This window comes from Homo sapiens, chromosome 16, assembly GCF_000001405.40.
Source record: "Homo sapiens chromosome 16, GRCh38.p14 Primary Assembly".
NCBI lineage: Eukaryota > Metazoa > Chordata > Mammalia > Primates > Hominidae > Homo > Homo sapiens.
In genome coordinates this window covers 27,730,631-27,744,151 of record NC_000016.10, presented here as the reverse complement: position 1 = coordinate 27,744,151, position 13,521 = coordinate 27,730,631, and the positions used below count along the sequence as shown (strand labels likewise).

The 13,521-nt window shown below is 49.7% G+C and overlaps 1 protein-coding gene across 20 annotated transcripts in view; it reads right to left on the bottom strand.

Annotated features, from left to right (window-relative positions):
- KATNIP (katanin interacting protein) overlaps positions 1–13,521 on the bottom strand; it is a 230,201-nt gene that overhangs the window by 36,193 nt on the left and 180,487 nt on the right. For 19 of the 20 annotated variants that reach the window (XM_005255201.4, XM_005255202.4, XM_011545775.3 and 16 more), the window contains one exon: positions 3,232–4,111. In XM_005255201.4, coding sequence (XP_005255258.1) covers positions 3,232–4,111 — 880 coding nt within the window. Of the gene's footprint in view, positions 1–3,231; positions 4,112–8,561; positions 8,658–13,521 lie in introns of those variants that run through there. The other variant, XM_011545777.3, reaches the window with a different exon arrangement.

The window sequence follows — 13,521 nt, the reverse complement described above, 5'->3', positions numbered from 1 at the left end:
CTGTACCTTTCCGGAAGGGCATGGCTACGGTATTTGGCTCTGGGTAATGGATAATTTAAAATTTCTAAGCAACTTTCCTTTTTAGCACGACTGACTTAACAAGCATGAAATCTCAGGGGCTTGGTTCTTAATGTGCATTGAGCCAAGCACTGAAATGCTTGGAAAGAAATTAAAGTGAAACAAAATCTCTTGAATTTGGGCAAGTTGGAGTAACACCATTGCCTTGGAACTCCTGGAGGCTTTGCACCGACTGTTTGCTGGGAAAGCTTGGAAGGCCTGGCTTTCCCGGGGCAGGTGGGTGATGATGGCTGTGACCATAGGCCGTGACTACTATAGGGTAATGTTTGGAAACATGTATGGTAGAGCTGATCTGTGCGGGTTCCAGTCCTGCTTTAACCCTTACTGTCTATGTGACCTGAAAAATATTACTTCAATCTCATGTTCCCTTTATCTGTAAAATGAGTCTGTTGGGAGGTTATTTGGGTAACGTGCCTGGACCAGAGCCTGGCTTACCACAAGCATGCTGTGCACCTGGTCACTGCAGTTCTTTTTTACAATGGCCCTCCCACACTGTGGAGGACCTGCCATGAGCCAGGCGCCTGCCCTCAGAGAGCTCCTCAACTCTTTCTTTCCACCTTACCCTCCTCCTGACACTGACTGAGCCTCAGTGTTAAGTCTCAGAAGGGGTGAGCAGCAAAAATTTGTAAGGCTGGGGAATCAGAGGAGGCAGCTCTGTCCAGGATAACACTTGGAGTCTGAGGAACTTGTTCCTGTACCCTAAGTGACATGTCAGGGGTATATCTGCTAGACACTCCCTAATACAGAAGATGCCGATTTGAATCATTAAAAAAATGCATGCATTAAGACATGTAATTAACCCAAATACCCATCAATGATAGACTGGATAAAGAAAATGTGGTACATATACACCATGGAATACTATACAGCCATAAAAAGGAACAATATCATGTCCTTTGCAGGGACATGGAGGTAGGCAGAAGCCGTTATCCTCAGTAAACTAATGCAGAAACAGAAAACCAAACACCACATGTTCTTACTTATAAGTGGGAGCTGAACTACGAGAACACATGAATACAGGGAAGGGAACATCACACACTGTGGCCTGTTGGGGGGTGTAGTGGGAGGAGGGAGAGCATTAGGAAAAATAGCTAATGCATGCTGGCCTTAATACCTAGGTGACGGGTTGATAGGTGCAGCAAATCACCATGGCACACATTTACCTATGTAACAAACCTGCACATCCTGCACGTGTACCCCAGAACCCAAAATAAAAGTTAAAGAAAAAAAGAAAAGAAAACTAGAAAAAAAAATGCATGCCTTGGCTTTGCATAGATATTTCACCAAGAGGCAGCATCACAGAGAGGGTGATGATGATGACAGAACAGCTAATATCTCTTGGGGGCTCCTGTGTGCCAGGCACTGTGTTAAATGCCCCACAAGTATGATCTCATTTATTCTCCCAGCACCCCATGTATTATTAGTGTCATTTTACAGAGGAGGAAACAGGCTCAGCAGGGTTTCAGAACCTGCCTGAGGTGTGGGTTGGAGGTGATGGAGCCAGGATACGTGCCCAGGCAGCCTGGCTCCAGGGTTTGTGCTCCCACGTGGTATGGGGTGGGGTTAAATCCAGAGGCTCTAGGGGTGAGCCCTGGCATGGCAGGCCTGAGTGTTCTGTGGATGGAAAAGGACCTCGTCCAAGCTAGTGGTGAAATAACGACTACTACTCACCGAGCACTCATCATGTCACAGGCTCAGTGTTGCTATTTGGAAGCCATCATCTCATTCTTTCCTTGCCACACTGGGTGGGGAAGTCATAACCATTTTACAGATGAAAACACTGAGGCCCAGAGAGTTGTGTGCCTGGCTAGAGGTCCCAGGTCTGTAAGCGGCTGAGTTTGGATTCAATGGTTTGACTCCTAGCTGCTATCCGTACTCTCCAGGAGCCAAGTCTGAGTGCAAATATTGAGACTCCCTGCCTTGATGGGCTCTCCTTTCATAATCAGGAATGCCCTTGAAGACCATCTAATCATCTACTGCAAAGTTCACAAAGCTCTCAGGGTGAGTCCTGCCAGCAGATGTGCCTTTTTTTTTTTTTTTTGACATATACAGTAGTTTAAAAATAATCTCAATCAGTTGCCAAAGTCAAAAAATAAGAAACATTTCTGGTTTCTCTTGAAAAAAGTAAAGAGGAGGTCTGGTACAGTGGCCTTGCATTCATTATTTTTTTTTGAGACGGAGTCTCACTCTCTTGCCCAGGCTGGAGTGCAGTGGCACAATTTCGGATCACTGTAGCCTCCACCTCCTAGGTTCAAGTGATCCTCCTGCCTCAGCCTCCCAAGTAGCTGGGATTACAGGAACGCACCACATGCCTGGCTAATTTTTGTATTTTTAGTAGAGTCAGGGTTTTACCATGTTGGCCAGGCTGGTCTCGAACTCCTGGCCTCAGGTTATCTGCCCGCCTCGGCCTCCCAAAGTGCTGGGATTACAGGTGTGAGCCATTGCGCCCGGCCTGGCCTTGCACTCCTAAATGCTTATTAGAAACCTGAGTGGAGTGGCAGCCGCCCTGTGGGTGGGCTTATGGTCTCCAAATTGCCAAAGTCCTCACTATTCCCTGTGCCACTTCCAACACTCAGGCAAGTGTCAATTGCTATGCATCATCACACTTGTGTTATTATTTTTTCTTTTTTTTCTTTGAGACAGAGTCTCGCTGTGTCACCCAGGCTGGAGTGCAGTGGCGCAATCATGGCTCACCGTAGCCTCGACCTCCTTGGCTCAAGCGATCCTCCTACCTAAGCCTCCCAAAGTGCTGGGATTACAGGCCTGGCCACTGTACCCAGCTATTTTTCTAACAGTACAGTTAAGGATAAAGTGAAGTGACTAGAGACCGATGTCTCTATGAAAGGCAGGAGAACAAAGTCTTTTGGAAAATGGCTTGGAAAAGCCATGTGTTGCAAGAAAAATGGGCAAAGGGACATACCTTGGTGGCAATGACAAATACATCTATGAATTTACCATGCAAAATGTGTCTTGCCCATTTCACTCATGTATGCATCTCTTTGGCCCCTGAGACAGTGATTTTGTGACCCTTAGTTGAGAACAACCATCTTGTTGTGCAGATAAGGAAACTGAGGTCCAGGAGCTAACTGGCTTCATGCCAATTAGAGGGGCTGGGATGATGATGCCCAAGTCGGGCTGCTCTTTGGAGCTTACCTCTGCTGGCTGGCTGGTCGTCCCCATGACTACTGCTGCCAGCATCCTTCCTTGAGCCCCTCCTCCCACTAGCAGGGCGCTCTCTGTTGGGGGGCTGGTTAAAGATGTCTGAGTCATCACTGTGGACTTTGGTGGTTGCCCTCTGGGGTCTCTCCTTGGTGTTGACACTCCGGCTGGTCCCCCACCCTGGCTCATGCCGTAGGCCTTTATCCCTGGCCTCGGTCTCTCCAGGACCCTCACCGATGACATCGTCTGATGGGAGCCTGCCCTTCCAGGCCAGGGGCTTCTCGGGACTAAGCCAGAGGGGTTTTGGCTTCCTGCCTCCCTGCTTCCTGTCCTTGCCGGTGGGAGAAGGTTGTAACCAGGATGGGGTTTTCCCGGGTGGCTCACAGATTTTTCTGCCCATGAGGTTTTCCAGTTGTTGGATGAGAGAGGGCTCCTCATGGACAGGAGGGCACTTCACAGGTGGGGAAGTGGCAGGAGCACTGGGCATGTCACCCATCGAAGTGGGGACTGCCGACAGTCTCAAATATTCCTCTAACTGGGACAAACTGTCTTTCCTGCAATTAGTAGAATTCTTTCTTTTGCCAGACACATTTCCTTGTGAAGAAAGCTTTGCATCCGCTAATGTTTCAGCTGGCGGTGAGCAACCGAGACCAAGCTCCTTGTCCCCGCTGGCACCAGCCATCTCATGGGTGCCTTTGCTTTCTTCCGAGTGAGCGTTCATGGCCTCCTCTAGTTGCTCGCTCTTCTCGTTCTTCTGGTCAACCAGGATGCTGTGGTCAGCTGGGGCCTCCCTATCTCCTTTGTCTAACTTGCCATTGAAGATGAGGTTTCTGTTGACGTAAAGCTTCACGTTCTTGGCACCAATGTCAAGATCCTGAAACCATAAGATTTAACAAAGTGAAGATGCATAGCATCAGACTGATGTATGAAATTTTGGAAGTCGAAGATACCAAAAAAAGAAAAGAAAATGTGAAATGCTAGAAATGCAAGCTTTTGAAAACCACAGTGCTGGGGGTGTGAAACTAGGCTTGGTCTCATTTCTGTGGGAACCGCTACATACTCTATAAATCAAAGGACTTTCACAAAGAGACGGCCTCAATCGCTGCCTTCGTCATCATTACCTCCTGTCGGGACATTCGTAATAGCCTACTAATGGGTCTCCCTGCTTCCTGTCTCTTGCTACTTTAACTTGGACTTCACATTGCCACCAGAGTTCATTTCCTACCAGAGCAAATCTGTCCAGTCATTCCCCTGTGTGAAATCCTTCATGTTTTTTCACAGCCTATAGCAGTGTTCTTTAAAGTCCAGTTCCTGAGACCATCTGCGTCGAAAAGCCTGGAGTGCTTATAAAACAGCTTTCCTGGCCTCCGTGGGCATCATAATTGGGAGACCGTAAAAGCAGAGGCTGAGACAAGGACTCGGGTGCAAGTCGAGTATTTGGCAGGTGATTCCAAGAGGAAATGGGGAAAGCAAGATAGGGCAGGAAAAAGGAAAAACCCAGTTTTTTTGAGCTGGTCACTGCTGTGGCCAACTGGTGCTCCTTCCCACGGGGGCCCTCTGCGGCACTCCAAGATCTCACTTTCCCCAACCCTAGTCTTCACCTATCTTAAAAATGGCTCCATCATTGAAGCAGTGGCCAAAAACCTCGTGGCCCCCTTGATCCCTCTCTTTCTCACTTGCCCATCCAATCCGCCAGCTGTCCCTCGCCTCTCTCTCCAGAACACTTCCTGGGTCTGACCTCTTTACCTGGAATGTGCTGCTGCCTTCCTTGCCCAGGCCACCAGGGTCTCTACCAGAGACACCACTGCCGCCTCCTAATTGGTCTCTCTGCTTCCACTCTGCGTTGTCTCCTCCAAATCCCTGCACTCACACTTCATTTTCTATGCAGCAGTGAGTTTTTTTTTTTTTAACTGAAATCAGATCATGGGAGTCTTCTGCTTAAATGCATGTCGCAAATGTCTCTCCAAGACTGGGACATTTATCCACTGCTTGTTGAAGGCTGCCCTCAGGGCACTGATGCCCCAACACATGCACGAGCTGAGTGTGCTCCCACGGCAGAGCACCCCACGAGCACCTGAGGCAGGGCACTGTCCACATGCGGGGACTGTCCCATGTTCACGGCAGCTGCAGTTGGAAGGGAGCCAGGAGGATGCCGTGTGAGGACCACTGCCTCAAGGCAGCCTGTAGGTAACTTCTGGACTCAGAACAAGTTCTCCGGATGATTTCTTCACACGACGGGGTGCAGAACCATGCCGATGATGGGATAAATTCCAAAGCTCTCCACATGACATACAGTAACCTTCACAAATGGTCCCCACCTCGCTCTCCTCTCTCACTGCCAGCCTAAATGCCCCTATGTCACGCAGGTTCAACTCTCTTCCTTCCATGCTTAAGATAAAATCACATCTCCTGCTACTGTTTCACTTGTGTCATCCTCTTTACAGCAAAACTCTTTTTCCAGCTTTATCGGGGAATAGAATACACACCCCATACAATAAACTGTGCATATTTAACGGGTACAGCTTGATCAGTTTTAACATGTGTCTACGCCAATGAAGCCATCACACTCAAGAGAACAAACGTACCTATCACCCTAAGGTTTCCTCGTGCCCCTTGGTAACCCCTGTCTCCCCTTCCTCCTTCCCTGGCTCCAGGCAACCACCCACTTATGGTCCCTCCCTATATACTGATCGTCCTTTCTGGAATGTTTACATAAAGGAATCATGTTGCATGTAGTCTTTTTTGCTCGGCTCTTTCAGTCACCATAACTGCTCTGAGATTCACCTGTGTTATGGGAACTGATAGTTCCTTTCCTTTCTACTGCTAAGGAATATTCCATTGCAGGGCCCCCCGCATGATCTGTCCGTCACCCCGTCAGTGAATCTCTGAGTGTCACTGTCCCCGTGGGCTCCTCCTCCCACTACCCCTTGTTCCTCCTCCCGTTGGGCTTCTGCCTCCACCTCCACATGGAACCCACCTGGCCCGGGCACCTGTAACTAGGGTGACGGGCCATCCTAGTTTGTCTGGGACAATTCTGATTTATATCTGTTATCCTGGTGTCATTACTAATGACTCTCAGAAGTGTCTGGTTCCTAAAGTAAATTACAGGGTCCAGCTGACTGCCATACGCAATAGGAATTTCTCCTAGGAGTGGGTGGGTGTGGCGGCTCGGCAGTACTCGGCAGCTTCCCCTCCTTTGCGATGACTTTCCTCCCTGGGGCTTGTGTGGCTCTGCACCCACCTGGCTTTCCTCCTGCCTCGCTGGCTGAGCCTGCCCGACTCCTGGGTTGCTTCCTTTTCTTCGGCTGCACTTTGAACGACTAGGCTGCCCAGGGCTCAGTCCTAGGCCTCCCGAGTGCTCTTCCCTTGCTCTCCAGGTGGTCTCATTCAGGTCCCAGGCTCCCAGTTATTTTCATCTCCAACCCTGACCTCTCCACCAAGCCCCAAGTGACTGCTTGGCCTCTCTTCCTGGATATCTAACAGGAATTCCAATATAAAATGCCCAAAACAGAATGCTCTCTTTTTTTTTTAAGAGACAAGGTCTTGCTCTGTTGCCCAGGCTGGCGTTACAGTGGCTCGATCAGGGTTCACTGCAACCTGAATTTCTGGGCTCAAGTGACCCTCCCATCTCAGCATCCTGGATAGCTGGGACTACAGGTACACGTCACCACGACCAGCTAATTAAAATAAATTTTTTTTTGTAGAGACGGGGTCTCACTATGTTGTCCAGGCTGGTCTTGAGCCCCTGGGCTCAAGGGATCCTCCTGCCTTGGCCTCCCAAAGTGCTGGGATTACAGGTGTGAGTCAATGTGCCTGGTGTGCCTGAAACAGAATTCTGAAATCACTTTCTCCACACTTAGTCTTAAACTATCTTAAAAATGGGTCCATCATTCGAGCGGTTGCTAAAAAGCTTGCCGTCCCCTCGTCCCCTCTCACTTTCTCACTCATATCCAGTATGTGGGCACGTCCCTCGGCTCTCTCTCCAGAACACGCCCTGGAGCTGACCTCCTTGCCCGCGTGTGCTGCTGCCTGGGCCACCAGGGTCTCCCCCAGAGACACCACCATCGCCTCCTAGTTGGTCTCTCTGCCTCCACTCTGGGCTGTCTCCCCCAAACCCTGCACTCACTTCATTTTCCACACAGCAGTGAGTCTTTTTTTAACAACTGAAATCAGATCATGGGAGCCTCCTGCTTAAAGCTGCCCAGTGACTTCCTATGGCACTGACAAGAAATCCTACTCCCCTTCAGGGGTGCCTGCTGACCTCTCTGACTCCGGCTCCTGGCGCTTGCCTCGATTCCTTGATGTGGCTCAGCCTGTTCCTCCTGCCTTAGAGCCTGTGCACTTGCCTGGCGTGTTCTGCCGCAGATGCCCACAGCCTTGCTCCTTCTTCTGTTCAGGACCTTCAGTGAACACACCTCTAGGGCAGCCCCACCTCATCGGTCCCCTCTTTATCTTATTGCCCTGTTTTATTTCCTTTTAGTCTCTGAATGGTCTTGCTTATCAGCTTTTAACTTATTTATTGTTTTTCCCACTCAAAGTTAGGCTCCAAGACAGCTGAAGCCCTGCCCGTCTTGTCCAAGGGCACATTGTAGCCACCCAACAATTATTTTTGGGCCAGGCGCAGTGGCTCATGCTTGTAATCCCAACACTTTGGTAGGCCGAGGTGGATGGATCACCTGAGGTCAGGAGTTCGAGACCAGTCTGGCCAACATGATGAAACCCCGTCTCTACTAAAAATACAAAAATTAGCCAGGCATGATGGCGTGAGCCTGTAATCCCAGCTACTCGGGAGGCTGAGGCAGGAGAATCACTTGAACCTGGGAGGGGGAGGTTGCAGTGAGCTGAGATCGTGCCATTGTACTCCAGCCTGGGTGACGACAGTGAAGCTCCGTCTCAAAATAAATAAATAAATTACTTTGGAATAGCAAATGAATAAACATGGGTTTTCTCTCCTGAACAGCACTGCTGTCTCAACAGTGCTCTAAGAATGAACCTGATCAGAAAAGCGGCGGCCTGTGGGTTTCACCTCCAGATCGTTTATTTCCCGTGTTGCCTTGGCTTCTGATCTGCTCTTGGGAGACAGAATCTGAGACCCTGGAGATGTTCACCTATACTAACCCCTTCTTAGCCTTCCTGAAAGCTAGGTGAGTAGGAGCTAACAAATTTCAGGATCACTGAGTTACAGAGGTTTCCGCAGCAATTTAGAAGGAGAACTGTCCGGCCTGCGTTACGCCACAGGAACTCGGCTTCAATCCTCCAATTGCAGATGGCAGGCTACCATTTGCCGACTGTCAGAAAAGTCGATTCTCAAAGCACTCTTTTACCTGCTTATATGGATGGATTCTCTGTTTAGCAGAGGCACAGAGCAAGTGCGTGCTGTGAATTCACCGGGGAACAGCTATTTGAGAAGGACAGCATGGGCAGTTTTCAATGACTGGTTCTGCAAAATTACTGCCACAGGGATATCTGGTGAGACAGAAACACCTTCCTTTAAAGAGGTAGTGGGTGATGGGGAAACCATCTAGTCCAGCACAGTCACAAGGTGGGCATCCTAGCTTTCCTAATAGGGTGGCCGGCTTCCACAACATGGCCACCCATCTTCCTTCCCCAGTCCAGAGCCCATCTGACCTCCAGCCCTGTTCCCACCAAGACGTCTGGCGGAGAGGGAACTGAGAGAGGGAAGCAGGCGGAGGCAGGGGTCAGGCTTGTAAGAGAGGAGTGGGCTCAGGTGGAAATCAGTGGTATGCAGGGGTCACAGGGAGGTGGGAGGGTCGTACCCTGCCTGGCAGCTCTGAGCTCTGAAAGGTTTCCAGCACTCTGCAGGCCAAACAAGCCACATTCATGGGCAGATGTGGCCCAAGGATCACCAGAGTGGGGTCCCCATAGGGAATATTAGTCACTTCTCTGGATATTCTGTTTAAAGGATAACAGACTGCCTTGTCCTATGTCATCCTCAGAACAATCCTGCAAGGGAAGCATTAGGGCCCCATCTTATGGATGGAGAAACTGAGGCACATGCCTTCCCCAAGGTCACACAGCTGGTATGTGGTAAGCCACTATGGCTGGCATGCTAAGGTCTTAACCACCATCTTTCTGTGGGTCAAGCTAGATTCCAAGAAAGCCACAGTCCTGGCCCATGCTAGCCTAGCCACTGTTAGGAGCACCTGTACCGGTGGAGCTCTGAGCCCCTACCCTTTTTTAAATTTTTATTTTTATTTTTTGAGACGTCTCTCTCTGTCACCCAGGCTGGAGTGCAGTGGTGTGATCTCAGCTTACTGCAATCTTTGCCTCCCAGGTTCAAGCGATTCTCGTGCCTCAGCCTCCCGAGTAGCTGGGATTACAGGCACGCCACTACGCCCGGCTATTTTTTGTATTTTTAGTAGAGATGGGGTTTCACCATGTTGGCCAGACTGGTCTCAAACTCCTGACCTCAGGTGATCCGTCCACCTCGCCCTCCCAAAGTGCTGGGATTACAGGCATGAACCACTGCACCTGGCCTTTTTTTTTTTTTTTTTTTTTAAATAAGTCCCTATGGGCCAGGCGCAGTGGCTCACACCTGTAATCCCAACACTTTGGGAGGCTGAGGCAGGTGGATCACGAGGTCAGGAATTTGAGACCGCTCTGCAGAGGTGCCAGAAACGCTGTCTCTATTAAAAATACAAAAATTAGCCAGGCGTGGTGGCAGGCACCTATAATCTCAGCTACTGGAGAGGCTGAGGCGGGAGAATTACTTGAAACTAGAAGGCAGAGGTGGCAGTGAGCCGAGATTGTGCCACTGTACTCCAGCCTGGGCAAAAGAGGGAAACTCTGTCTCAAAAAAGAAAATAATAATAATAATAATAAATAAGTCCTTATAGACTAACTGTCTCCTACCCCACCCCAGCCCCCACCTCCACCTCCACTGGGTGGTGGGTGTGCGTATGTGTGTGGGTTCCAGTTCTTCAAGACATTTTTCTACATATTTACGTATATACCGCATAAGTGTCATTATACCACAAGGGTGTGCTTAGAGGCTGTATGAGAGTCACATCTGCCCCATGAGGAAAGCAGGATGGAAGATTCTGCGAGTCTGGATTCCTCTGCGCCCCCTCAGTGCAGCTCTGTATAAAGGACATCTTTACGAAAGGATCCAGGGGGAAAATCCTTTCTCTCCTCAAGAACCAGCCTGCTTCCTCCCCCTCCAGTCGTCAGGGCTTTAACCCCAGGCTCTTTCTCCCTTCTTCTGTCTTCTTCCATGAAGTGCACCATGAAATTCCTTCCTGCCGAATGTCTTAACCTTAACCTTTAGAACCCTGTCTCTCTCTCTGCATATGTGTGTGTGTGTGTGTGTGTGTGTGTGTGTGTGTGTGTCCTTCTTGTTTCCTTGGTGTGAATATTTTTTTTCCTTCTTTAACTAGAGTTATTTTTATGCCTTTTGTTCATGCTGCCTCAAACACCCTTTGCAATGGATTTTGAAAAGGACAGTTTGAAACTCTGTGGCTGGTTTGTAGTTAATGGGAACACCTTTCCTGGCCCACATTTTGCCCTTATCTTCCTTCTTTACAGTTGGTGAGAATCAACTGTGCTGAAACTGTAATGCATTTTTAATACAATATTAATATTATTTCAATCTAAGTGATTAATTAACTCAGCAAGGCCACTTTCATCCCTGGCCCCAGTGTAGAATGGCAGGTCTCTTGCAATGAACACACAACTGCCCAACAAAGATTCATGGCGGCACGGTTCCACTGTGGCAACAGTGAAGCAGAGCTGTGGGCTTTAGCATCTTAAGCCACTTTCCCCAGAGATGAGCACCTGCCTTTGGCACAGCCAATACAACCTGAGAACAAACATCTGGAATGAAGCACTGGCTAGGCCCAAAAACCACATGCCAAGGTGGGTCCGTTAAGGCAAATGGAGCCTTGGCATGGCGACACAACTGGAGTCGGCCCAGATGTGCACTGGCTGGACTTCAGGCACAGCCCAGGGAGCCCATACTGCAGGCATCCCACACTCTGGGAGTTGTGTCATTGGCTGGGAACATTTACTGGCACCTCTGCAGAGCAAAAGCGTGGGTTGCTGTCCTTCCTAGCTCTTTGCCCGGAAGTGCTGGCTCCAGCACGGGAAGGAGCCAGGGGTTCTGGGCCAGGGGTTTAGGGTTTGTCTCCCGGACTCACTGCTTTTATCCTAACTGTAGGTCTATCGAGATATGGAGGGCTATGGGGGAGTGAGGTGCTGTCACCCAGAGTGCTGCCACACACACTTTAGGACCTGGCTCAAGGGCTGACTCCTCCAGGGAGCCCCTGGCCCTCCCTGTCTCCCCCTCCTCCCTGACTCTGGTTGACTTGAGTCTTCTTCTGAGGTTTCGGGGTTGGGCTTGCAACCTGGTTCTCTGCACCTACTGCTTAGCCAAGTGTCCACAGACACATGCTTGTCCTCCCCAGGAGGCAAGACCTTCAAGGACAGGGGAAAGGGCTATTCCTATCTGTCTTGAGGTCTTGCTCTGGGGACTAAACTTACAGGGAGTTCTGGTTTCATTGGGAAGTGACCTTCATTCATGGTCTTTTACGTGTCCCTTGGGAGGAAGGCCAATGAACACCATTCTCTGTGATATGCAATTTAATTTCCTCGAAGGGACAGAAGAAGATGGTAAGACACTGAGACATTTAACAAACACCTACTATAAGCCACACTCTGGGAAGACCATGCCGTGTCCCACCCAGCATCACAGACTCAGGATGACAAACGTGGATGGGATCTGATTAGTTCACACACTGGTGGTCCTCTGGCTGAAACCATGCTCGTTTAGCTCACCAAGCATTTAAGAATTTTAGAATTATTAGTAATATTTACAAATTGGGAGCTTTCACATAACAAAGTGCATTTCTGGCCTCTGTTGAAAAATTTAGGCTGTGTGGCAATACCGGGTCGGCGCTAACATGTGGAGTAATGGCTGCCCTCCTGCAGGGCCTGGCTCTCCAGTGACAACGGTCGCTCTATAGAAAGGCAGGGCTGTGCCAGGCGCAGTAACTCATGCCTGTAATCCCAGCACTTTGGGAGGCCAAGGTGGGTGGATAACCTGAGGTCAGGAGTTTGAGACCAGCCTGGCCAACATGGTGAAATCCCATCTCTACTAAAAATACAAAAAAATTAGCCCTGTGTAGGGGCACACACATGTAATCCCAGCTACTTGGGAGGCTGAGGCAGGAGAATCGCTTGAACCCAGGAGGTGGAGGTTGCAGTGGGCCGAGATCACTCCACTGTACTCCAGCTGGGGAACAGAGCAAGACTCTGTCTCAAAAAAAAAAAAAGAAAAGAAAAAGAAAGACAGGGCCGTGAAATGGGCACCAGACTGCCTGGTAGTCATGTGATCGTCAGCAAGTTGCTCTGCCTTTCTGTATCTCAGTTTCCCCATCTGTAAAATGGAGCTGGTAACTGCAGTACCTGTCTCATAGGACTGCTGTGCAGAATAAATGAGCTGATTTATGTAAAGTGCTTTAAATACCGCTTGCCACATATGCAAGAAACAGGAGCCACCCTCATGTCTTGTACCTAATGTACTGCACCTAAATGTATATAGACCCGTCGAGGCTGGCTGCTCAAGGTTGGCCTGGCTCAGAGACACTGCGCTGCAGGGCCCAGTGCGGCAATCCCCCTGTTTCTGCCAGAGGTTGGCAGCAGCCATAGGAGGAGCCCCATGCATACTGAGGTCAAAACTCTGCTAAGTTTGGGTTGAGGCCCTGGCATGCAATTCTTGCAACTTTATTCAATGCAGCCCATACTGTATGGGGGTCTTTTGGTGGGGGACGGGGGGGTCCTGGCCTGTGTGGGATGCAAAGGAAGCAAGCCAGGGTCCTCGCCTTGAAGAGTTCACAACCAGCTGTAGGTGAAGGGGTCACATGCTCAAATGCTAGTGGCACCGCAGCCACGGGGGGTCTGTGAGCTGAAAGATGTATACTCTCAAGTCCAGAGGAAGCAGGGAGCATTCAGCTCCAGCCAGTGGATGAAAGAGAGGGAATATTTGCCAGGTCATCAAAAGCCAATTTCCAAATGTTGTCATTAAACAATTCAGAAGCTGTAAACACTGTGAGGACCAAAACCGAACACATTGCAGGGCAGACTTGGCCGGGGGTGCCTGTTTGTACATCAGAAGCTCAGAACCCTAAGAACACCCTCAGGAAGCAGGGACTTGATGCCAGGAAGGGTGTCACTGGAGACCCCCACAAGGGGCCTAAGGCAGGCTAGGGGTATGGGGAGGCTTGTTTGTGAAGTCAGGTTTAAGCTGAACCTCAATGTTTTGAAAGG